This window comes from Homo sapiens, chromosome 18 (assembly GCF_000001405.40).
Source record: "Homo sapiens chromosome 18, GRCh38.p14 Primary Assembly".
Taxonomy (NCBI): domain Eukaryota; kingdom Metazoa; phylum Chordata; class Mammalia; order Primates; family Hominidae; genus Homo; species Homo sapiens.
Window position 1 is genome coordinate 37,475,988 of NC_000018.10, and position 24,679 is coordinate 37,500,666.

At 52.2% G+C, this 24,679-nt stretch overlaps 1 protein-coding gene across 125 annotated transcripts in view, besides 4 other annotated features; it reads right to left on the bottom strand.

The window, feature by feature from the left end:
* CELF4 (CUGBP Elav-like family member 4) overlaps positions 1-24,679 on the bottom strand; it is a 322,955-nt gene that overhangs the window by 233,144 nt on the left and 65,132 nt on the right. For 119 of the 125 annotated variants that reach the window (NR_148519.2, NR_148522.2, NR_148518.2 and 116 more), the window contains exon 2: positions 9,538-9,620. Coding sequence is in view for 108 of the 125 variants with exons in the window: in XM_047437652.1 (XP_047293608.1) it covers positions 9,538-9,620 (83 nt within the window). In the remaining 17 variants the exon portion in view is untranslated. Of the gene's footprint in view, positions 1-9,537; positions 9,621-9,738; positions 9,806-24,679 lie in introns of those variants that run through there. The other 6 variants (NM_001353758.2, NM_001353759.2, NM_001353760.2 and 3 more) reach the window with 1 other exon arrangement.
* Positions 7,532-8,578: an enhancer, noted in NCBI's record as "VISTA enhancer hs371". NCBI's record gives its function as "enhancer in: hindbrain (rhombencephalon)[8/8] | midbrain (mesencephalon)[8/8]" and the evidence as "EXISTENCE:transgenic organism evidence [ECO:0001131][PMID:17130149]".
* Positions 12,691-13,588: an enhancer, noted in NCBI's record as "H3K4me1 hESC enhancer chr18:35068641-35069538 (GRCh37/hg19 assembly coordinates)". NCBI's record gives its function as "activates a minimal SCP1, AML or CMV promoter by ChIP-STARR-seq in primed H9 embryonic stem cells {active_cell/tissue: H9 hESC(primed)}" and the evidence as "EXISTENCE:reporter gene assay evidence [ECO:0000049][PMID:30033119]".
* Positions 13,589-14,485: an enhancer, noted in NCBI's record as "OCT4-NANOG-H3K4me1 hESC enhancer chr18:35069539-35070435 (GRCh37/hg19 assembly coordinates)". NCBI's record gives its function as "activates a minimal SCP1, AML or CMV promoter by ChIP-STARR-seq in naive H9 embryonic stem cells {active_cell/tissue: H9 hESC(naive)}" and the evidence as "EXISTENCE:reporter gene assay evidence [ECO:0000049][PMID:30033119]".
* Positions 23,537-24,036: an enhancer, noted in NCBI's record as "H3K4me1 hESC enhancer chr18:35079487-35079986 (GRCh37/hg19 assembly coordinates)". NCBI's record gives its function as "activates a minimal SCP1, AML or CMV promoter by ChIP-STARR-seq in primed H9 embryonic stem cells {active_cell/tissue: H9 hESC(primed)}" and the evidence as "EXISTENCE:reporter gene assay evidence [ECO:0000049][PMID:30033119]".

A 24,679-nucleotide genomic window follows, 5' to 3' on the forward strand; every position in this document is an offset into this window, starting at 1 on the left:
TTCTATATTTTTATTATCCTCTTAATTATTTCATCTGTGAATTAGGAGTCACAGGACTTTATTGTGGCAAAGGACTCCGAAGGTCATCCCCACTCGCATCATTGTTTTGTCATTAATAATACAACTTGGATGATTTCTAGCAATCCACAGCATATAAAGGGCGCACACATGTGATTTTCATGATAGAAATTAGGGAACTCAGACCTGGAAAGGTTGGGTGGATGCCCCAAGTTGGTTGGTGTCCTCTGCACAGGCTGACAGTGTTCTGAAGGGTGGAGCCGAGTGTTCGGCATCATTTTGCCTCTTCTGTGCTGGGCACAGGGTTGGGCACACCAGGCTCACCATTAAACACACTGTGCTCCTTCAGCCACCAGAAGGGGATGCCACCCACATGGCGCCCCCTGGTGGGCTCATGGGAACATACCACAAATGCCTTTGATTAAAAAAAAGGGTGCTTGAACCACAGTAAACTACGGCGCCCTAGAGAGACCTTATCTCCCCTGCACTCCAGCCCTTTCCTCTTTACAACAGCCGTTTTCATGAGGAATTAAAGAATAAAGAACAATGCCATTTTTTTCTATTATCACCCAGGCTTGCCCATTTTTGATGGCATGTGGCAGCCCACAGTTCCGGATCCCTGCAGGTCAACAACAAAGACGTGTCCTTCTGCTCGCCCACACACATGCGCCCAGCAGAAACCCTCCAATCCTAAAACACATCCATCCCGGAGCAGGAGCTCACACAGACATTCTGTTTCTCAGCCTCGTTTTCTGGCGAAAGGTCAACAAACCCTTTGCAGCCTCACACGGATTCATGCAGGCACAGCCCTTGTGGCAGCCTCACATTCTCGCTCCGGTGGACACACACCTCGCTCCACACATGCCCACATTCACACCTGCACCGGCGGCGAATGCCTGGGCCAAAGCACCTTCCACACAGCACTTCCTTTCTACATCCATGACCAGAGAGCGAAGCTTTCTCCTCTTTCCAAATGCACCCCCGCAGGGTGAGCTAGGCTGAAGACTTTCTGGAGGGGCATAGAGGTGATATGGCTGGAATAGGAGATGCCAGAATGATCTGTTGGTGCCTCTGGAAATGCCAAGGCCAGCAAGGTCGCTCAGCAGATGGGGAGCTGCCTCCCTCCCGCCCATCCTTGCTCTGGGTCAGTTCCAGGCACAGGCGCAGAAAGAGGAAAGCAGGTACAGGCTGGGAATCCAAGATGGGAACTCTGGAGTTAATGGAGCAGCCTGGGCCCCAAGGGCAGTGCTGGGTGCTTGGATGGGGACGGATTGGAAAGCTCCCCGAGCGGGGCAGAGAATTTGTTCAGAGGAAGTGATGTTGACTTTGGGCCTCCAAGGATGAATGGAAACTCTCCAGGCAGAGGGAATGACATGGAAAAAGAGGAGCTTGCAGGAAGGCTACGTGCATCTGGAGGGTTTGTGGCCAGGATGGTGTCTGCCCTGGCTGAATCTTGTGGGTGACAGAAGCCTGGGTGGTTTGCAGGTGGTGGGACCTTTATTTTACAATGACACCCTTGGCCAGCCTCTGAAGAATGCATCAGAGGGGTGAGGGCCTGGAAGCAGAAGGCCACTGTGGTGGTGTGGGCTCCTGCAGGGCATGTTGGCTTATCCTGCCATCTCTCTCATCTGAACTCCTGGGCACTTCCCTTCACTACCATTTTTGGGGCCCCTAAAGATATTTTCTGGATCATGAGCTGTCTTCACACTTGCCTCCCAAACCAGATTATAAACTCCTTCTGCAACAGGCCGTGTCTTACTTATTTTTGTCCGATGCCAGACACCCTCCCTCCCACAACCAAACTTCGCAGGGGGCAGGCTATCTGTAAACGCTGCTGCCGCTGACTTGGGTGATGGCAGCCGTGATCCAAGCCACATTGGGGCAGTGTGAAAATTGCAAAATGCCTGTCTGGTGTCCTTAGAATGAGACCTGAGCAGAGGGCAGGGGTGGGGGTACCATCAGGAATCCAGCCCCAGCCCTGGGGAGCAGGCAGTCTGGCTGCTCTGCGTCAGGGAGAGACATATCTGACCCACGCTTTATTATACTTGTCACCAATGGCGTCGGGTAGTGGAGAGCAGGAGACACTGTCGTCCTTGCTCTCCCCCTCTCCTCTCCTCTCCCTGTTGTCTTAAGTAATGTGAGTAATGCTGAGCTCATTATTCTTAGAAATATAAAGAAAGCTGGAAGGGTCTTGAGAGGCGATCTGGCCCACCGCCTCCTTCACAGTCTAGATGGTGTGTCCAGGGAGGGTCCGGGCTCATTGCTCTGCCCAGACCACGTGGCTTGTTGGTGGCAGGCTGGACCTGGCCCAGGTTCCCTCTGCTTATTATCTCATGTGCCCTCTTGTTTGTTTATTTCCTTCAAGTCATGTATGATGACTGCAGGCACAGAGGTTCTCTGGTTCTTTCAGATCAACTTGTTAGGGAGCCTTTCTGGGCACAGCCCATGGCAGGCCTGGACTATGTCGTGGGGGCCACTGAGAAGATGAGGCCCCTATGAGAGTCAAGAGTCACTTGCTTGAAAAATGTGGAACCCTCAGGACAGTGGTTGGGGCAGGGAAGGAGAAAGTGGGCCGTCTAGGAGGGAAGACTGTGGGCACAGCCCCAGGGAGAAGGAGGACTTTGAGATGTCTCTGTGGGGAGGAGATTGAAAAGATTTTGCATGAACACAGTGGGACAGGGGGCTGGGCTAAGGGATAACGTGGAAGAGCAGAGGCAAGTTTCGAAGGCATCACAGATGTAGCCCCTATACCCATCTGTCCCTCAGTACCTGGATTTAAAGTGCTTTGGGCTTCTCTCTTGGAACCTTGGTGTTCCCTTCTGTATAATGAGCCCAGGCTGGTGTTCTGTGGTGAAGGTCCTGTTTGGCTGGAAAGCCTGGCTAGGGCACATGCCTGCCAAGCAGGTTTGCTGTTGGGATGGGGGCTCTTCTGAAGGTATGGGCTGGAGAAATGCCCCACATGAGTGGGTCTCAAGGCCTGGGTTCTGGTCCCAGCTCTGTTATAGCAAAGTCTCCATTCACCTAACCCAGGAGAGAGTTGAGCTGGAGTCGGTGCTGAAACTGCTAAGCCCTTGGGTCAAGTCTGCCCTGCAGACGTGGGTGCATGTGAACGGCAGGCGACAAATGATCCTTAATGCCCGGAGGTGGACTCTGCCCTCTGCTCCTGCCCGTACTCCCCACCTACCCGGTGCTCACACCATTGGAGCTTTTGCCTCTTCACAAGTCATCCCTCTTGTAACACTCTAAGGACCTTTGGGCTTGTTCCCTGAATGAATGAGAACCAGCAAGTAAGGGAGGAACGCTCTGCCCCAGGGCCTCACTGTCCCACCTTCTACCCACCCTAGGCCCGGGATGGGGTTTCTCTACCTTGGCATTGTTGACACTTGGGGCCAGATGATGTTTTGCTGTGGGACTGTCCTGTACATTGTAGGATATTTAGCGGCAGCCCTGGCCTCTACCCATTAGATGCCAGTAGCATCTCCAATGTCAAATGTCCCCCGCAGGGCAAAATTGAGAGCCACTGCCCTAAAAGGACAGATGAGTACTTCTTTTCAGGGAATATGAGAAAGAAGAAAGATATATCATCCATTCTCCCAAAGAGAAAGAAAAAAGCATGAATCCAGGTGAGATACAGAGGAAAGGCTGGGCGACCCCCATGACTCAGACACTATTGTAGGCCTTTATCCTCCCTACTGTGGAAGAGCCACAGGGCAGCCCCTTTCTCAGTGTTATGAGTTGAATTGTGTTCCCCTCACAAGATGCTGAAGTCCTAACCCCAGGACCCATGAAAGTGACCTTCTTTGAAATAGGGTCTTTGCAGATGATCAAGTTAAGACGAGGTCATTAGGGCAGGCCCTAACGCGATATGACTGCTGTCTTCATAAAAAGGAGAAGTCTGGACACAGACAATGTACATTGGAAAGATGATGCAAAGACACAGAGGGAACGCCATCTACAACTGAGGAATGTCTGAGGCTCCCAGAAGCGAGGAGAGAGGCCTGGAACTGATTCTCCCTCACAGCCCTCAGAAAGAACCAACTCTGCCAACACCTTGATTTGGGACTGCCAGCCTCCAGAACTGCGAGACAATACATTTCCGTTGTTTAAGCCACCCAATTTGTGGTGCTTTGTTGCAGCAGTCCCATGCTAATACACTCAGCAAGAGGAAGAACAGGACCGGGGAACTGGAAGAGTGTGTGGATCTGGCTGAGATGATCTCTGCAGAGAAACAGAAGGTGGCAGGGGCTGGGAGGGAAGATGCAGGTGCTGATGGGACCCAGACTCACTGTTCAGAGACAAAAACCAACACTGTGCCTACAGGACAAACAAGTGGAAATACATCCCATTTCTAAAATGAAAAGCTTTGATTGCACCGATCACTAGAAATTGTAAAACTACCCCGAAGAATTAACAGCCTCCATACATGCTAACTACATCCATCATAAATTCGTCTTTAGTTTCTGTTATCATATCACTGTCTCTGGGGACCCCTGTCTTGTCATCATTTGCCCTTTATAATTTATTCATCTTGTTCTTGCCTTCATCCTTTCTACTTATCATTCATCTTTACAGTTGTACATAAAATTAGATGGATCCCTCAATGGCAGGACTGTCAGGGAGGGAGATGGGCCTTGCCAGGGAAGCCCCCGTATGGTGATGGGGGCCCCACCAGAGCCTCCTGTGGATGTCAGGGTTGAGGTGGGGTGGGCCAAAGTTGAAAGAGGGAGGGAGGAGAGGGAAAGGAGAGACAAGTCTGAAGGATAAAAGAAGAAAGTGTTGGTGAGAGAGATAGAGGAAAATGGGCAGAGGGAGAGAAGAGAGGAGAAAATGGGGGCACAAAGAGAAGAAAGAAAAAGAAAAAGAAAGAAAGGAGGAGGAAATGGGATTAAGAAAGAGAAAAGTGAGAAGAAGGGATAGAAAGGAGAGACAGTCTGAGATAGCGGTGCTAGAAATCCATTTGAGCTCTCTGAAAAGAATTTTCCCACTTTAACATCTTTCCTGGTAAACTCAAAGAAGGTCACATTGAATTTCCATGGAAGTGACCCATCCTGAGTCGCGGTGACCTGAGTCAGGAGGCGTGATGGCGGGACTCTGCATGTCTGCCAGGCTGACGCGAGGGGAGGGGAAGGGGGAGACAGCAGGGAGGAGTGTGTTAGTTTGCTTTGTATTCTAGGATTGTTGGAATGAGGACACAAAAGCCAATCTTTGACTAGTGAGTTGGAACTTTAATGTTTACCAAGGAGATACAGCTCCCACTTCCCCCACCCCCATCCCTGACCAGCTCTAATTCCCACTGCTTCCTTGCCTCCTACTGGCTGGACCCAGCTCTTCCCCTGCCAGCCCTGGTGAGAAGCCCTTTCTGCTACCAAAGGAGCAAAAGTGCTGGCCACAGCTTGTCATAGCACCTGGTTTTCTCTCATCTGAGCATCTCCCTTGAGACCCTGTATTCCCAACCTTGGAAACAGAAGGGCTCTTCCTGGAAGACGATTCCCCACAAAGTCCCAATGGCTGGAGGAGCTGCGACAAAGCTTCAGGGGTAGATTTTAAGGAACAGACTTCTTTCAAGAGGCTTCCTGTGCACACTCAGGCCCCAGGTGGTTCTCAGAGTGGGCCTCTCCTGCCCTGTGTGAGTCACCTGGCTCCTGGCCTGTTGTGTGTGCCTCGACTCTGGGCCGTTTCTCGGACCAGTGCTCCCATCTGACTCATTTTACTCCCACCCTACCCATATCCTGAATGAAAACTTTGAGTCACTCCTGCACTCCATGGTCATCCTGGTTCTCTCTAAATTCCTAAAGCAACCGGTGGCACTGGCAGAGGCAGGTATCCTGAGCTTTGGTAGCAGACTCAGTGCTGGTCCTGGCTCGGCCACTTATCAATTTTGTGACCTTGGGCAAACCTCGATCTCCTCCTCTGTGAGGGATAATCATGACATCTTCTTCATAGCGTAGTTTTGAAGATAAAATGAGGCAATGTAGGTAAAGTGCTTGGCATCATGCCTGTCATATAGTAAGCACTTAAAAATACTGTGATTATTGAACAATTGTCCACACTACCCATTTTATAGTAACATGTGCTGTCTTGTATTGTTGACTATGTAGATATTTGTGTGTGTGTGTGGCTTCCATCCCCAACTTGGTGGTCAACTCCAAGCGGGGAGGTGGATGTGTTTTTCTTATCTCTGTATTTTACAGAACGTCTGGCACACAGGAAATACTTGTTGATGGATTGAGAAACTGCCCCATGTTGACTGTCCCCTGTGAATAGTGAAACAAATTTTGTGAATAGAGGAGCATGGGCAGGAAAAGAACAGGAAGTCAGGAAAGAGTGAGATCAAGAGTATGAGGGCGAGAGAGGCAGAGAGATTAGAAAAAGGGAGTCACTCTGCCTGGATTCTGGCAGAAGGCAGTGCTCAAAAAGACCCAGATGAAGCTTCATAGTTTAATAATCTAATTCTACTAAAACATGCCAAACTCAAAAATAATAATCCATTTGTGCCACTGGTCCAGGGATGACTCCATCAGCCATCAGAGGGCCCTGCTCAGGCTGGTTCCCAGGGATACTGGGAATCACGTATCACTGATTTGTAAGAACAGCCACTGTGGTCTGGTTTCTGAGCTTCCACTGATCCCAAGAGAAATGTCAGCTTCCCTTTTCAGGCCTCCAATGAAGACATGTGCTAGGGGTGCCTCTAGTTCTGTCTCTGTCATTTTGTTATTGTTGCTCATAGTGACGGTGGTGGTGTGTGTGTATGACAGCAATGGGATTATTTTTCTTGCTGGCAACAGGATGCGAGCTCCATAACTCACTAGAAACAGCATAGACTGCCTGTACTATCTTTTCTCCTCTTTCTCTCCTCAGCGAGAAAGTGGAGGGCTGATTTTAATGGATTGATTTTAATGGATTTTGAAGTCTGGAAAAGTGCCTAAATTGCTGAGGTTACCAGTTTTCCAGGTTCTTTTTTTTCAATTTCATTCTCTTTAGTCAGACATAGAGTGTGCTTGCTGGGGCACCTAGTGTGGTCACCCCAGACAAGAAGAAGTCCCCCTCTGTCTCTCACCGAAACAGGCAGCCATGAACACAGCCACAGCTGGCAGGATCGCCTATTATTTGGTTGGGTGAGAGCATTTGGCTTGGTCCCGTCCCTGCATTTGCTAGTGGCACACTTTCTCTGATCTCAAAGGAGAGAACCAACCAACAGCAATAACACCAGGTCTGCTTTCTGGAATCAAAACAACTCTACTTTAAAGAATAATTTTACTTGGTCATTTTGTGTTTCATTTGTCTGCATGCAGGTTTGTGTGGAGACAATGTGCCCTCGGAACTTCGAGCTGCAATCCGGTCTTTTATTCCTGCCCCTCCCTCTGGTGGGCGTGCCTGCCCCGAGAATTGTTTGATGAGGTTTTTGAGGCCATGAGTTTCCCTGTGAAGCCTTTGAAGAAGGGATGGTGTTCGAGGGGACTCTAGGCTATGTTTCAGCTCTGCTGTTGGCCTCTATCTATCTTCCCCCCTCCCCGTCCCAACATACACTCACGTTTCTTTTTGCCCTTTCCCTCAGACTTACTCAACTTGTCTTTGTGATTTCAGAAAAATGCCACTGGATCTCCCAGTATGAAGGATTAGCACAGATTATGGGGAACAGTGTTAATTATGGGTGGAAAGGGGGCTGGCGCGTCGCTCCAATGTGCTCCTGATTTCCCCTGGGCCTTTCTGCCTGGTAATAAGCCTTCTTTAATCTGGCAGGCCCCTTGGTGAAATCAGCACCACGGACAGTGATATTGATTGCTTCTGAGAAACCATCACAGCTGCTCAACCAAATTACCTTTGATATGTGACCTTTAATGTAATTACTGCAACATCAAAGTATTTCTATAAATTATTAAAGAACTAATACACTCCATCATTTAGCTATTCTATTATATGTAAAATAAACAACCACAAGTTAATGTTAGATCCTCAACAATCCACACTTGCTACTGAAATACTCCCAATTCCCAGCCTCTCCCCTTTCAAAATCCTAAACCTCCCCCTCTCACCTTCTCTCTTTCTGTTTCCCCTTCTGATTCCGGCTTTTAGCCACCATGAAACTCCCTAGCAATCTCTCTCAAGCTGATGAAGGGCCTCCCATAACAATGTGGTATTTTCTATTCCATTTGGGTGGCTCTAAAATATCTGTCACAGTCTCCCCCAAAACAAAGTACCATAAACACTTTATTAATCAGCACAAACCTTTCTCAGAAGCCTTTGATTATCCTACAATATGGCTTTATGCTTCACACATAACATGGGGCGATGTGAGGCATATTTCTGCCGTCTTACAGAGGGCACCCAGAAAGTAATTACTATAATATATGTGCATGTAGCCGCGCAACTGAAAAAACAACTGGGGAATGGCCACCCTGCCAGAGCTGGGCTTCACACAAAATCTGTGCGGTGCTCGATTTCCATATATTTGCATCTGTGGGTATGTTATTAAGATGACTCAGCCCCGTGCTTTGCAATCACAAATACCAAAATACAATACAAAGGCTGTCTTAATGGAAGGAAGGCCCTGTGTAATTCAGCTCTCCCCACCCCTAAACGAGTAAAGAAAGATCTTCGATGCAAAGGAAGGCTGCCCCCGCCCGGGGTTGCATTTTCTCTCCGTCTACCTGGTTAACCTTTCCCGCTGTGGGGTAGAAATGGAAACGTGTGTTTACATACGGTTGGCTTGGTAAGAATGTAAACATGCATGTGTAAGCATGGGTGTGCATACTTATAGAACACATGTGCTTCCCTGCAGTGTCCATTGTATAAGCGTCAACACTATATTTAGAAAATCTTTAAATTATGCCCACAAACACACATCTTTCCATTTATCCTTAGATACTCAGCAGCCGTATATCTCTCCCCCCTCACCACCGCCCCATCTCTCTGAACCCACAGGAGAGACCGCGCAGACCCTTGACCCGAAGAATACTTCTTATTTTATGGTGATGAACTAGCCTCGATAATAGCCATGGCTGATATCACACCCAGTTAGGGGGGCCATAAATAATTCTCTTCTCCCCCGCACAGAAGCTATAAACCAGGGCCGAGGCGCGATAGTTTATCAAAGACGAGGGCTGGCTCCTTAAATAAACCGCGGTGATCTCACTTGCGGCGCCCCCTCCCACGCCGGCCCCCTCCTCCCCCACTAGAGCGGCCCGCGTCGACTCGATGGGCGGACTCGATCGCGCACGCGGCCCGCGGGCCCGGCGGAGGCAGCTCCCGCTCCGGGGACCCGGGACGCGCCGCTCCCCCGCCCCAGGCTGCCCGCGCAGGAACTTCACGGCCACGGCCAAGTGGGGCCCCTGTCCCGGATCCCGTTGGGCCCGGACGGCCGAGAGCCCAGGGATTTGGGGGGGCGCGCGGGCTCCCGAGCTCAGGCGGGGCGGCGGGCGCCCTGCCGTCCTCTCCCCGCGCGCCGCGCCGCCGCCCGGCCTCCCGAAGTCGCCCCCTGTCGGCGCGTCGGCCGCTTGCGCCACGGCGGGCGCCACTTACCCCGGGCAGAGTCTTCTGCTCGTGCAGCGCGCTCTGGGCCTTCAGCGCTGACTCACGCTCGCAGTAGGTGAGGAAGGCGCAGCCTGGGGAGGAAAGCAAGCGCCAAGAAGGGTCAGTGGGGCGCCCCCGGGCCCGCCGACGCGCCCTGCCGCCCGCCCTCCAGGCTCCCGCCCCTCCCTGCCGCTCGGTCCCTGTCCCCACCTCTCTTTCTCTCCCGTGCACTGTTCTCGGAGCTTCTCTGCCTCTCGGTGTTCCCGGCTGTCTGCCTCTCGTACCTCCCTTTGCTTTTCTATTTTGCTCCCTCCGCGGAGTCTCCCCACCCTGCATCTTCCCCCCACCACACCCCCCTCTCCTTACGGTTCTCTCCTTACCCCGTACCCTGGTGCCTCAGACCTCTCTGCCCTGTTTCAGCGCCAGCCCCTACGCTTCCTAGAAGGGGCAGCTTCCACCCCTCACCCCCAGCACCTCTAGCCACACTTGACCATGGGCTGTCTTTCTGGCCGGTAGGAGTGCTGGGCGCTGCTCCCTCAGGGATGGTGGAGGGCTCCTCTAAGCCTTACAAATAAAGGCTCAGTCTGTAAGGAGGACCCCAAGCCAGGCCCTCCTAATAAAATAAACGTACCCTGTGTCCCCTGTCCCAACCCCTGTTGTTTGATTTGCAGTGACAGATGGTCTTCACACCCCTCCAAGTCAGAGGGCTTCTAGGGCATATCCAGGCCACCGACTTACAGCACTAGACCACCCTTGCTCTGCCTTTAATTCCCTAGGTGACCTTAACAAATCACATCCTCTTTCTGGCCTCAGTCTCCCCACCTGCGAACTGAGAAGGCTCAGTCTAGCTCTCCCACTGATTAATTCTAACTGGGCCACACCCCACCTCCTCGCCAGGGAATCCGGATTTGACAGAAGAATATACTCAAGGGGTGACTTTTCAGTGCTGTCCTTTAGGTGTGGTGACAAGGCCAAGAGAGTGGGGATGGGGGAGTCTTTCTGGGAGTTCCCATAAGCTGTCCAGCATGCCCAGTGTCAGGCCTTCTTTCTCTGCCTGCAGATGTGGCTGAAGGTGGCTTGGGAGGCCTGCAAGGCTCAAAACCATGGGGAAAGCCCAAAAGCTCACTATGGCGGAAGCAGGCTTGAATGTTCTGGTGAACAGTCACCTCAGACCTTTTCAAGCCACCCATGGCCCCAGAGAAGGCACCCTGTGGAATGGCTGCCTCTCTTGTTCCTCTCTCTCTCACGTGATCTTATCCAAGGCCACATCCCCAACAACCTGTGTTCCCTTCTGCCCCCGCATTCCTCTGCTCTCACCACCTCCTCACCTGGTATACCCCTCTTCCCCATGTTCACTTCTCCGAAACCCATTGATCTTTCAAGAATCTGATCAAGTTCTACCTACTCCAGGCAGCCCTCCTTGGCTGGTCTAGTCCATCCCCAGCCAGTCTCCACAGCCAGCCATTTGGTCATTGCCATGGCCATTTATTTCCTGAGTGCTCGCTCTGTGCCAGGCTCTGTGCCAGACCTCGTGGCCCAAGCCCTCCTCTCATGAGGCCCACAGGCTGCTGGTGCCAGTATGGTACCTATGTCAGCCCTTGTCACCAGGCTTGCTTTAGACTCTGGTTGCCGGCCACAGAATGCTCCCGGTGTCCTCTGCAGCTCCTGACTCTTCCACCAACCAGCCTGTACCCAGTGAAAACCCCTTTCCTCCCCTTCCAATGTAGAAATTCCTGCCTCCCTTCCCTTTCTGGCTTCAGAGAGGAGGTGGAAAGGGAATGTATTTGTGAAAGGAACGGAGATGAAAGAAGGAAACAGGGAGAAAAGCCTGGGAGACAGAAACTCTCAGCTCCCAGTGCCCCCTCTGCCTTCCCCACCTCCAACTCCTGCCTCAGGCTTGGAGAAGCTTCGGAGAAATCTCTCTCCCTCTCTGTCTCATGTCTCCCTTCCTCCAGACCCCAGATCACTCCTCCTCCCTCTCCCGTCCTCCTCCCTCCTGGTCACTGGCAGACTGTTATTGATGGAGACACCCGGGGACTGAAATGAATAGCGGTCAGAGGCCCCCGTGACGTCGTCCCTCGTGCTGCCGCCTGCTTCTCCCGGGGGCGTCTTTCCTCCCGTCCCCTTGTTGGCCTTGTCCTCTGCCTGCAACCAGGAGGTGGCCACTGCCTCTGCTGTACGCAGGCAAGCCAGCTTGGGACAAGGTCAGGGGCAGGTTTGAGGGGAGGAGGATGAGGGGAGGGAGGAAGAGGAGGAGGAGTAGGAGGAGGAAATGACCATATTGTTTCCATGGCCCAAGATAACAAGAAAAGGATTCCAGAGGAAAAAGAATCTGTTGCTTTTGTCCAGCTTCCAGGAATTTCTGCCACAGTTTTTGAGAGAGCTCACAACTTTATTGTGAACCAAAATCTTTCAGGATCCTCCAGACCTTGGGTGACCTCCCCCTGCCGTCTCCACCCCCTGAATTTATCTCCTTCCAGTCTTCCCCTGGCCCCACTCACTGGTCCCCTCACTACTTCTTAGCCCCCCAGGTGCACTCTGTCTTAGGGTCTTTGCACTGGTCTTTCCTCTTCCCAGAACGGCACCCCCACCCCACCTCTGCTATCAGCATGGTGTGCTCCTTCCCTTCACTCTGGTTTCTGCTCAAATGAGACCTCCTCAGAGACACTTCCCTTGACCACCCCATTTAGCATAGCCCTGCACCCACACAGACCCTGACCCCTTTTCCTGTTTCCCTTTCTGTTTGGCACCCATCACTCCCTGACAGAGTCACATATATTTGCTCTTTGAGGGGCAGGCTCCCCATGCTCAGATGAGGTTAGGAGCCTGGTTTTGTTCTGTTTCTGCTTGGTTCTCAGTGTCCAGCATATAAGTGGAGGCTAATACGTATTCCTTGAAAGGACTGAATGCCAGAACACCTCAGCTAATTTGGTGGGGCCAATAGGCACAGAAATGGTGCTCAGAGGCTATTGAGAGCTGTTCAAGATCTGTGGGCACTGAGGCACACTGGACTTCTATAGTGGTGGCAGGGCCAGAGGTTGCCTGAGAGTTGATAAGTGGGTTCCTGATGGGAGGGTTTTTGCCCCAAGAGCTCCCAGGAGCCTGTTGAACCTGACAGTGCACTCTCACCATGCTTCCCCCTTCACCCCCAAGTTGATCCCAGAAAAGACTGATAAACAACTGCAGCTCCTGACTCCTCCACCATCCAGCCTGCACCCAGTGAAAACCCCTTTCCTCCCCTTCCAATGTAGAAATTCCTCCTGCCTCCCTTCCCTTTTCGGGTTCAGAGAGGAGGTGGAAAGGGAATGTATTTGTGAAAGGAATGGAGATGAAAGAAGGAAGCAGTGAGAGAAGCCCAGGAGAGCCCCTTCCCAGGCAGGGCCCACCCCAGCGTCCTCATCTGTAAAATGGGAAGAGTAATGGCCCTCAGAAGCTTGTGGGGAGACCTACTTGCCAGTGAGTATGAACAGCCTCTACAGACTTCACTAAGTGCAGACTGCAGTGTCAATATCAGTTCACTGTTGTGAAGCAGGGGCTAGAGAGGTGTTGAAGCCCCTTCCTTCTCTCCCTCTGCACCTCTGTGAGGCGGGAGCGGCTGGATATAGAGGCTAACTGGGGCAGTCCCACCCCGGGCCCTTCCCAGTCCATCTCCAGCCCATCCGATGCAGCGGCTGACACGCCAGCATGGCAGATTAGTTGGCTATCTTAAGGCTCTTTGAGAAAGGCAAATGCGGATAAGCAGTTATTAACGCTGACTCCGGGGTTCAAAAGAAGGGACCAGTCTGCTCCCTGGCTGAGGGCAGAGCCCTGGGGGCATGGTGACTGTGGGGAGGGGGCTGCAGGAGGAGAATTTGCCATCACAGGGTGCTGTGGATGGTGAGAGGCCTGTGGTGGAGAATGGGGGGCCGGGGAAGAAAGGGTGCCCAAGCCTCAGCCATTGGACACTCACTGCTCTCTCCTAGGGAGGGAATGGGGGTGGGACACATAGAACCCCCAGCTAGAACAGCTGGCCTTGACTTCCTGTGGCTCATTTCCACATCTCACAGGGGTTGAGGAGGGGGCTGTGGGCTGTGAGGGTGTCCAGCTGAAAGGGGGGAAGGTGGGGAGCATCAGCCTCAGCCCAGCAGCCACTAATCTGCCAAACTCACTCTCCTATGTTGTACTGAGTTGTCCCCAGAGACATCCCTGGCGGGGCCCTTTGGGAACTCACAGTTGAGGTGGGAAACGGGATTCTCTCAAGGAGCAGCTGCCTAACAACACAAGACAGTGTGGGAGAGAGGCTAGAACCGGGCTCTGAACGCTGAGGCTTGAGAAGGTCTGTGGAGGGTGCCTCATCCTTCCTGGGGATGTGGCCAGTGGCACAGAAATCTCTCCCCATCTTCAGACCCAGAAATCCCTCCCAAGTCCTGATCCTATGATCCACATACACTCGTGCTCACAGTGGAGTCGGCAAGGATCCAGTGTGGCTGCTTGGAATAGCAAAAAAAAATTAAAAACCACCTAAATGTCCCTTAGGACAGGAATGCTTTCATTTTTAAACTGTGAATACTCAAAAGCAGTTAAAAAGATGAAAAGACCCTCAATGTACCAGCATGGAAAGCCACATTGTCAGATGGGAAAAGCAAGTTGTGAAATAATAGACGCCATGTATATACAATGGAGACACAATCAACTCGCCCATTATATACTCAGACCTGTATTTACATGTGAAAGACAAAGTCTGGAAGTCACACCAAACTGAAAACAGGGAGTACGGGGTGGGGAGTAGGGGGGTATGTTTCCTATGACTTTCACTTTTTTTGTTTTGTTTGACACATTTAGACCCAGAATGTATTCATGTATCACTTGCATAATTAACTTGAAAGGAAAAAAAAAATCTTTACTAAAAGAGTAGGATGAAATGAAAAGGAGGTGGGTGAGAATAGGTGAGCCCGACAGGATGCAGGGCCCATGGCCTGTATTGAGGAGACAAAGATCATTGCACATCTGCCGCCTGGCAAATATACTTCATGAGGGAAATTATCCTTGGTGGGGTGGCTGTGGCCCTGCCTCAAAGCTTCCTCTGAGCCGGGGCTGGCTGCTGCGGTGCTGGGAGTTGACACAGGTGCTCTCAACTCAGCAAGCTGGAAATGTAAATGATTCTGGTTCTTTGGCCCTGAGTTCTGGGGGTTGGTGTTTGGGGGATGGAAACCATGATGGTGCAAACACCTCCCCGTCTTTGCCCTCCCATTTTTGGAGGGCCCTCCCAGCTGTGCGACTCTGACGGGACATGAGGTAGAGCCACCCAAGTGATCCAGGGGCTCTCTGGGTGGTCTAGGACCTCACCCTGAGCTGCCCCCTTTCCTGCCCCACTGTCTGGGATGGTTCTCCCGGCACCAGCTCATAATGGAGTCTACCACCCGTTAGGGGTCAGCGCTTTCTGTCCCACCTCTTCCTGAGTTACGGGATCAAGCAGGATAGAAGCGCAGCCTGTTCTGGAGCAGAGACAGCTTTGGAAATCATCCAAGGTGGGGTGGGGGCAGAGAGGTGACAGAACTGCAGGGTGAGAAGTCACACCACAGTGCTGCCCTCAGCAGCTGACACCTGGGCTCCCTATGGCACCCTCTTCTCACCCGAGAGGGGCCCCATGCCCACCTCCTCTCCTCACCCGAGAGGGATGCCGTGCCCACCTCCTCTCCTCACCTGAGAGGGACGCCGTGCCCACCTCCTCTCCTCACCCGAGAGGACGCCGTGCCCACCTCCTCTCCTCACCTGAGAGGGACGCCGTGCCCACCTCCTCTGGCCAGCAGAGACCTGCCTGTCCTCTAATACTTGAGATTCTATCACATACGCTGAACACTTTGGCCGGCACACATGTTTCCTTATTCAGCCATGTCACCTTCTCCCACTTACCATTATTATTTACTTAATCCCTTCCATTTACCAGCTTGATGCCTCGTCTCTGAATAGACTTTCAATTCAGTGAGGGTGGAGACGGGCTCTTCTATGTCTATACGGCTAAGTGGAGGGCCCAGCTCCTCATTCAGGGGTCTGCAAGCTGGAGACCAAGAGGGACTATGGGGGTGGGGGAAAGAGATCCAAGATTGGGGCACTGAAGGGAGATTGGGAAAAGTTGGCAGAGTGAGGAGGGAAGGGAGAAGGAGTGTGTGGCAGGAGAGGTGAGCACTGGGCCAGGGAGAGGCAGGCAGCGTGGGCAGCGGGAGGGTGCTGTCGGGCTAGGGTGCACGCAGGGGTGGCGGATGCCCCTCTCCGACATGGGCAGCGTGCAGACCATGGTGCAAGGGGTACTGCTGTGGCCAAGAAGGTGGGCGGTGCCCTCTCCCATGTGGGGGGAAAACACAGTGCAGCAGAATTAATTGCACGGAGATGGCAGTAATTTACAAAGCCCCCATGTGCCGGGATAAAAGGCCCTTGTCATTGTGAAGTGAAGGAAGTACAATTTCCTGCCCAACTCTGAACAGGGCCGAAGCCTGGGGTGTAATCATCACGGAAGGGAAGGTTCCCGATGTGATGCTCTCCCTCCTCCCACCCCAGCTGGGTCTTGCCTTGCTACTAATTGAATTACAGAATTAGCCAGAGGAAGGTGGCCCTAGAATAGGAAGGTCTGGATTTTAATAAAACATCAGATCCTTTAGGCCTTGGACTTGGCCGGCCTGGAGGAAGTGGGAGAAAGCTGGGCGGTGGGGAATGGGAAGGTAGCAGGAGGCCCACTAGCCAGACCTAGGGGCCGAGGAAGGGGCTCCCTGAAGGCCCCTCTGCCCCAAATCTCCACTCATCCACCTGCCATGGTGCCTGAAATCACAGCCTGGGAGCATCACTCCTTAGTGGTCCTCACCCCCGGCTGCACCTGAGAATCACCTGGAAGATTTAAAAAACATGCAGGCCACTGCAGAGAAGTTATAGTAGCATCTCTGGGAGTGGATCGCAAGAGGGAGGGAGGGAAAGTCCACCAGCTTCCCTGGGAAGAGGGTTACTGATGTTCTGAGGTCACATCTGTTCCCCCATCCAGGCTCTGTCTTTCGTGCTCTGGGTGGGCAAAGACAGTCTTCCTGGTACCTTTTGAAGCAGATGTTCTGCTGCCACGTGAGAGAGAGGCAGCTACAGAGCAGCTCATCATGTACATGTTCTTCCTCTGCAAATGTCCTCCCACTTCGAGTACCCGGCTGGAGTCTACACAGCCTTTAAGACTCACTTCTTAGGTCTTACTCCAAGCTGAAGCCCTGAGCATCTACCTCAGCCACTTTGGTCTCACCTTCTATGGATTCGCATGTGGCCTCTGCCCATGGCCTGCCTCAAGGATGAGCCTCATTTTCTTACCTCAACCATGAACAACTTGAGGCTGGGCCCTTGGGGCTCAGCAGGACTGAGTAACAGGCGGGAAAAAGACCCCATGGGTCTGTGCCTCTCTCTCTGCTCTTCTCTGTGTGTCCAGCCAAGGTTGACCCTCCTGCCATCTTCCCAGGACCTTTTCTGGCCATTCTTGTTTCCCTAGTTATTTCCACCTGGATCTTCTTCCCTCTCTCTTCCCACTCCTCCAAGTACTCCCTGCTGGTATTCCAACAATTCCTGCAGTTGTCTTCTCTCCATGTGACACAGTGATTCCCCACCCACATAATAAATTTCTGACTTCCTCTTGCTTCTCCACCCCCATGGGGTAAACCCAAGCCTAAGAACATCATCCTTTCCTCTGCTGCCTTCCCCCATGCCTCACCCCTTTAGAGCCCACGTAACTTTCTAGGAGTGTCTAAGTTTTCCTTCCTCCAGGAAGCCTTCCCTGACTACTTCAACCCCAACCTCTCTCATAGCCCTTGGCAATGGTCTGTCTCATTTTGCAGTTAGAATCATACACGTCTTTGCCTTGCATTTGTGTGTGTTCACCCAGAATGTAAATACTCTATTATAGGAGTAGCTCACCCCAGGGCCCCCTTTCCCCCAGTGGCAGACAGCGTAGAATGCAGAGATTGCTGAGCTCCATTCTGCCTCTGGCTGGGTGAGAGTGAGCGGAGTGGCAGCAGGAAGTGGCTGCTGCAGGGATGCGGGTGTGGGGGAGGTGGGCCATGGGGTCTGGGGAAGTGAACACATTGCTCAGGCCCCTGGTAGCAGGAGCCATACGTCTTCCTCAGAGGAGGCAGCCTGCAGGGTGGGGGTGATGGGGACTGCAGAGGTGGGGGAGGGGGAAGATGGATGGTCCCCTAAGCCAATGCATCAGAGGCTGCAGCCTGCTCTCCTCTTTAGGGGCTCTCCAAGTGCTGGAATCTCCCCCTTGGCCATGCATTCTTCTTTCAGGCTCCGTACTGCCCTCCAGAGTCTCCTCTCTTTAAATCAGAAACTCCAGAGAAGAACATGGCCCATTCTAGAGTGCGAATGAGTTTTGTTGAGTTAAACTCCTCTGTGTGGTATGGGAAAATAAATGGCTCACTGTGACTCTTTCTGCCCTTTGTACCCACAAGACAGAGATGTGCACAGAGCTGGGGTGGTCCAGATTTTCCTCAAGCTAGATTTGAATCTCCCAGGAAAGGGACCAACCTTCTCTTTCTCTTCTTGCTGAGCTCAGGGCAGCGTGTTCAGACCGAGGGACCTAAGTGGCTCTGGACAAGGAGGTGCAGACCTCAGAGGGTTAAAGAACCAGCCAGTGGGTCCTTTGCCAAGTGTCCATCCTTTCCAGTTGCCCTTGTTTATGCCCTAAAAGCTTGAGAATTACATGTCTGGTGTCGGCTGCTCCATCTTTATAGCACTGTGAAAAAAGACAAAGTGGACGTGACATATTGATGGCCTGTCCCCCTTTTCAGCAAAGAGCTCCTCCATCTATGGTCAGGGCTGATGGGCCCATGAGGTTCAGGAAAGTAGGGACTGGCCCAGGGTGGGTGTCAGCCTTTCCAACCTGGGCTTGCAGAAGTGAAGCCTGCTCAGCTGACCACATTTGTTGGGCTTTGTTCCTGCAGCCAGGGGCTTGCTTCTGTACCTCTTCTCTGGCCAGCAGCTCCTACTGGTCCCCAGGAGAGCATGAGGGTGCTCCCTTATGTGTGTTTTTTTGGCAGAGGGCCTTGATTTGCCAGAGTGCTGTCATGTGCATGATCTCACCATTCTTACACCTCAGCATAGGCTCGGGATGGGGTGCGTATCGTCGGCATCTGACAGCTCAGAAGCTTGAGACTGGGAGAGGCCCTGAGATGTGGCCACAGTGGGAGAGCAGAGACTCTGGTATCCTGATGGCTATTTTTGGGCTCAGTTCCTGCTTTCCCCTCCAGGAGCCCTAGGCAGTGTCTGAGGACAGTGTGAGGACGGGCCATGCTCAGGGAGACACGAGGGTCCTTGGAAGGGAGAGGTCCTCCCTCCCCACCCCCAATCCTGTGGCCTTCTCTTGGGATAAGGGGCTCAAGGGTGACCTCATCTTCTTCCCGCAGACACCCAAGTAGAGTCAGCTGAGGTGGTGCCTGTCCTTCCTCTATCACAGGTGCCCTTTCAAATGTCAAAGGCAGGCATGCCATGGGCTCCTCTGCAGAGGTCTCTAGCTGAGCATCAAGGGTGGATTTCAAATGCATTTGGGGCATTTGCTATTCACATGAGTGCCAGGATAAATTCTTTGCTAGAACCTAGAAACTGAACTATGTTCCTTTCTGATGAACCTGGTAGGGGAGTTTAGATCTTCCTGTTTGAATTCTCTTAGACCAGGGTGAGAAGCCAGGCTCAAGTCAGTGGGGACGGCCCACAGTGGAAGGGGCTCTCAGAGGCCTCCTTGGCAAGACCAAAACCATCGCTAAATTACGTGATATGGGCGACAGACAGGGTCCCCGATGAAGCTAGGCATCTTCACTTGTTTGGGAGGGAAACCACCTCCCTCCTCTCCAACAGCTTCTGAGCCTCTGCCTCACTCCTTCCACCCTTGCCTGGATTCCTTCTCCCTCTTGGCCTGTTTTTTCAGAACTTCAGAGCCTCACTAGCTGACCTCAGCCACATGGCTCAGCCCTGGCCTGACACCCTGACCTCCTCAGCACATAAGAATCACACCATGCCCCATCTGAGGCTCCAGTGGCTAGTGTCATTTGCTTGGTTGTGTGTGTGTCTTATACCTGCACAGCGAGCTCAGCAAATACTTGCCGAGTGAGTGGCAGAGAATTCCCCTTGCTGGAGCTCTTCATGGCCATGGGACTGGTGAAGTGGAGGTGGGGGTCATTTTTCACAGAGGGAGTGCCTTCCCCATGCAGAAGGAAGCTCAGAGGACTCTGTCCTTAGGCTGCCTCTGAAGTCCCCATCCCTATCCCCAGGCCTGAAGCACTCCCTGATATATCCACAGGGACAGCTCTCTGCCCTCATGATTTGTGTGCATGTGTGCTTGTGTGTGTGTGTGTTTTGGGGGGTGCGATGGGCTTCTCTGACTCTTATCTCCCATGAAAGGAGAATAGATCATAACAGCAAGGCAGTGGACCTATGAGTCCCTTTGTGGCTTCTTAGGACAGACCCTCCCTTTGGGTCACACAGCCAAGCCATGCCTCCCTCCCCCAGCAGTGTGTGACCATATCACTGTGGGCCTTTTCTTATTCCCTCCTCATGTCTGGAGTGCCTTCCCCACTCTTGGGCCCTCCATCAGATCCTCCAACCCTTTGAACCGTGTTCAAGCTGCAGCTCCTCAGTGTAACCCTCCCAGCTTCTCAGCCCTTGCTGGGTCTCCTTCGAAAATGTCTGATGCCCTCAAACGAGTGCTTGGTTGAGCAGCTTTCTGCTGTTCTCATCTGTGAGAATCCTGTCCCTCAACTAGACCACAGCGCCCAGGGCTGGACCTCTTCTCTGGAACCCCCTTACCAAGCCCCAGGATGGGGTTTCATAAGAGTAGCTGGGTTGAGCTGAACAAAATTCAGGAGGGGAAGGTGTGTCCACCCCTCTTTGATTGCAGGGTCTGGTCACATGGTGGCACTCAGGACCTGCCTGGTGAGGTGAAATAATCTCGCCTCTGTCCTCTGGCTTCTTCCTAACAGGCTCTAATTCACTTAAAGAACAACAACACAACAACAACAATAAATTTTTTTTAAAAAAGAAGCACACCAACCAAGAAATTCCAACCTCAGCATCCAAGACAGGCTATTTTGAAAAGACCAATAGCCAGGAGTCCCATATTACAGGATCAATGTTTGGAAAATGTGACTTTCTTTTTAAAAGAAGAAAAACAATCTCACACTGTCCTGGTAGGCCACAGTCCAGCTGTCGATAGAGGGTGTCTTTCTCTCATGATCTTGGCCATTTAAGCCACTGTTCTGGCCGGGCTTTGGGCTGCACCCAACATCAATACGGTAAGTTCAATCACAGGCATTTAGCAATATTTAACCTGAGGGCTGCGGCGAAGAAGGAGTTAGCAACTGTGACTGGGACGCCAGCCTCAATGAGTCAATCCCTCAAATCCAGAGGGGCCCTAAGGAAGCAGCATTCTCATTTTTCAGAGGGGTAGGGGCTCTGGGTTTTGCTCTAGAGGCAGCTGGCCCCGGTCCTGGGAAGGGCTAGAGCTATTCCAAGTCATCCTGCAATCATTGCTGACTCTCAAGGAGTGCCCAAGGTGGGTGAGAGGAGTTGGTAAATGGGGAGCCTGGCCTATGGGGTAAGACAGAGCCTAGCATTTGGCTCTAAAGTTTCTTTTCCCAGAGAACCACCCACATGCCCACAGAGCCCACCAAGAGAGAAATGAAGCCAACTTATCAGCTGACTGGTACACAAGACCCAACAAACCATGTGACTGGGGTTGGAGGTGCTGTCTTCTGTGGATGGAGTGAAAATATGCTTCATTCATTCATTCATTTCGCAACCATTTATTGATGGTCCACAATTTGCCATGAAAGACATACCCCCTGCTTTAAAAGAGACAATTGGTGCTGGGTGTAGTGGCTCAGGCCTGTAATCCCAGCACTTTGGGAGGCCAAGGCGGGCAGATCACGAGGTCAGGAGTTCAAGACCAGCCTGACCAATATGGTGAAACCCCATCTCTACTAAAAATACAAAAATTAGTTGGGCATGGTGGCATGTGCCTGTAATCCCAGCTATTCAGGAGGCTGAGACAGGAGAGGCGCTTGAACCCGGGAGGCAGAGGTTGCAGTGAGCTGAGATCACACCACTGTGCTCCAGCCTCGATGACAGAACGAGACTCTGTCTCAAAAAAAAAAAAAAAGAAAAAAGAAAGACAATTGGTAAGCATGCTTGGAAGGCCAGGTGATGAGTGTGCAACCAACATACCTATCAAGCCAAAGTTTGTGCAGGGCCTATTGGTGGCACAAATGATAGCAGCAAACACTCACTGATTTTTGGTTGTATTTTGGGCATTGTTCTAAGGGCTTTATATGTTTCGACTCATTTAATGTAAGTCTATAAAATAGACTTATCATCCCCATTTCACAGGTGAGGAAATGGAGTCACTCAAAGATTAAAGACTTGCCCGAGATCTTGTGACCAGGTCCCTGATAGAGCCAGTGTGTGAGATGGGTAGGCTGCCTGCAGAGCCCATGTCCTGAACTCTGGACTCTGCAGCCTTGAGAAGGAGGTTACTCAACTCTGCCTGGGGGAGAACTCAGTGCAGGGACACCTGAGTGAATCACCAACCCAGAGTGGCCTTAAGGGAAGGGTGTGCTAGGGCAAAGCTCTGCATATGCAAAGACTGAACAGAGTGGGTTTGGGGGCCCTGGAGTGGTTTAGAAGGGCTGGAGCCTGTAAGAGCACCATCTCCTCAAAGCTCCCCCAGGTGCCTTCCTAAACATCTTTCTTTGGCTTTCTCACTTTCTGTTCTTCCTCTCCTCTCTTCCCCTTCCCTTCCCTCCTTTCCCCTCCCCTCTCCTTCCCTCTTCTTCCCTTCCCTTCCCTCCCCTCCCTTTCCTTTCCTTTCCCTCCTTTCCATCATCTCCCCTTCTCTTCCCTCCTCTTCCCTCTTCTCCCCTCCCCTCCCTTCCCCTTTCTTCCCCTCCCCTCCTCTTCCCTTCCTTTTCTCTTTCTTCTTTATGTCCTTTCCATTGCCTGACTCCTCCCTCTTCCCTTACCTTCTCCCTCCCTCCCTTCCTGTCATTCTGTTTTGTCTCATGACTAGCACCTATATTATCTCTTGTCCACCTATTTAATTTTCCCCCGACCATCCCAGGCTGCAGCATTTTTCCCATCCCTACACAGTGGTAACATGGGACCTTGAGGTTCCTGTCACCAGCCAGCTGGTGACTCTGAGAAAGCCATCCAACCCCTGTGGCCTGATTGCTGCCATCCGCAGGGTGTCTGGAGTTCCGGGAGAGGGTTGCACCTGGCCTGGGAGGGAGGTGGGTCTGGCTATGACAGTAGCCTCTGCTTTCTTCTGGGAGCCCTGGGGTAGTTTACAGAGTCTCTTCCAGAATCTGTGAAATGGGGATAATGACACTCACCTGCTGGGGTCCTGAGTGCCCAGCAGAGCACCTGGGATATAATTAATGGGGAGTGTTACTCTTGTTGTTGTTGTCCGTAGTAATAGTTGTGATGTGATGCTTAAATTCCCTACAGTGTGAAAAATGGCTTTGGCCTTTGTACTGTCTATTGTCTGCTTCCTTTTGTAGGACCTGTGTGTGTTCTTTGGTTATAACCACACTCATACACACTCATAGGGGACAGGGACCTCATTGCACTTCCTGTACAGCACAGGCCAGCATGTGTCGGGGCTCAGAACGACAGATGGTTTGCTTAGAGAGTCTAGGATGCTGGTGTGTTTTGTTTCCCTTGTGTGTGTGTGTCTAAGATGCTAATGACAGGAGGCGGTAATGAGCTGGCAGGGGCCTAGGTGACAAAGAGCTGGCTTCATGCATCCCCAAAGAGGCACCTCAGTGCCAATTGTTTCTTTTGTGAGAGGAATTGTCAAGACCTGGGAATGTGGGCTGGGGAGGGCTGGAGAGAGGAAAGTTGGGGCGTTGCAGACAAGGTTTACAGGAGGCAGATCTCCACACAGGAGCAGAACAGGGTCCTGGCAGCACTGAGAGGGGACAGCCTGGGAGGGACGGGGAGCCCCAAGAGGGTGGCAGGTCCCTCATGGGAAGGGAAGGAGTGTGGATTGAGCACTCTCAACCGTGTTACCTGTTGACTTCTCAAGCGGACCCTGTGAGCTCTGCAATGGCAGGGCTGGCCCCTCTGCATGCCTCTTGTCTGCCCTACTCCTGGCACAGGGCCTGGCATGGGGACTGGAAGCATGGGGTGAGGGATGGTCAATGGTTTGCATGACAGTGCTGACTGGAGGGCTCCAGCAGGTCAATAGGTCTCTCTGGGCTTCAGTTTCCTTTTTTGTAAAGTGGGTTTGATGATCCCTACCCATGAGTCTGTGTCCTCAGCATCCAGCACAGTCCTGGCACCAAGTGGGTCCTTGGCACAGACTCATCAATGAATGAATGAGTGGAGGAGTGGGGCATGGGAAGTACACGTCCCTCTTTTACACACCAGGGAAAGGAGCACGAGTCAATCATCCCGAGAACACACATCTGGTCAGTACGGTAGCTAGAGCTCAGGTGCACCACCCTTCTCCTGGGTTGAGTAAGGCTGGGGAGCCCAGTGCCGCCCTGGCAAAGGGAGAGCAAGCCAGACAAACTGTGTAGGAAGCTGACTGTAAGTCAACAGATGGAGGTGTGTCTCCAAGGCTGTGCACCAAATGGAAGGGAATCGGGAGAACAGATTCATGCGAGGAGGTGTAGGCCTAGTGCAGCCAGTGCCCCTGCCCCTGCCTGGGTGGACGGCAGGCGGCAGCCATGGCTGGGGAGAGAGGGAGGCACAGGTGCAATGCTCACAAGTTCGACAGCTGCATAGGGCTGTATTCTCTGTCTTCACTTCACCTTGAGAGGATCCAGGGATGGGAAGGAGTAGGGCCGAGGAGGGGTGTTGTGGAGACCCAGACCCAGGCTTAGTGAGCTGTGCCAGGCAGAGCCAGCCTGCAGCCTGACCTTAGCACCTCTTCCGACTCCTGCAGCTGAGTACATCTTGTCTTTGTGCCCTCAGTTTACCCCTTCTCTTTGCCTTCTAGCTCATTTTCTTTTCTTTTCTTTTCTTTTTCTTTTTTTTTTTTTTGAGACAGAGTCTCACTTTGTCGCCCAGGCTGGAGTGCAGTGGTGCTATCTGGGCTCACTGCAAGCTCCGCCTCCTGGGTTCATGCCATTCTCCTGCCTCAGCCTCCCGAGTAGTT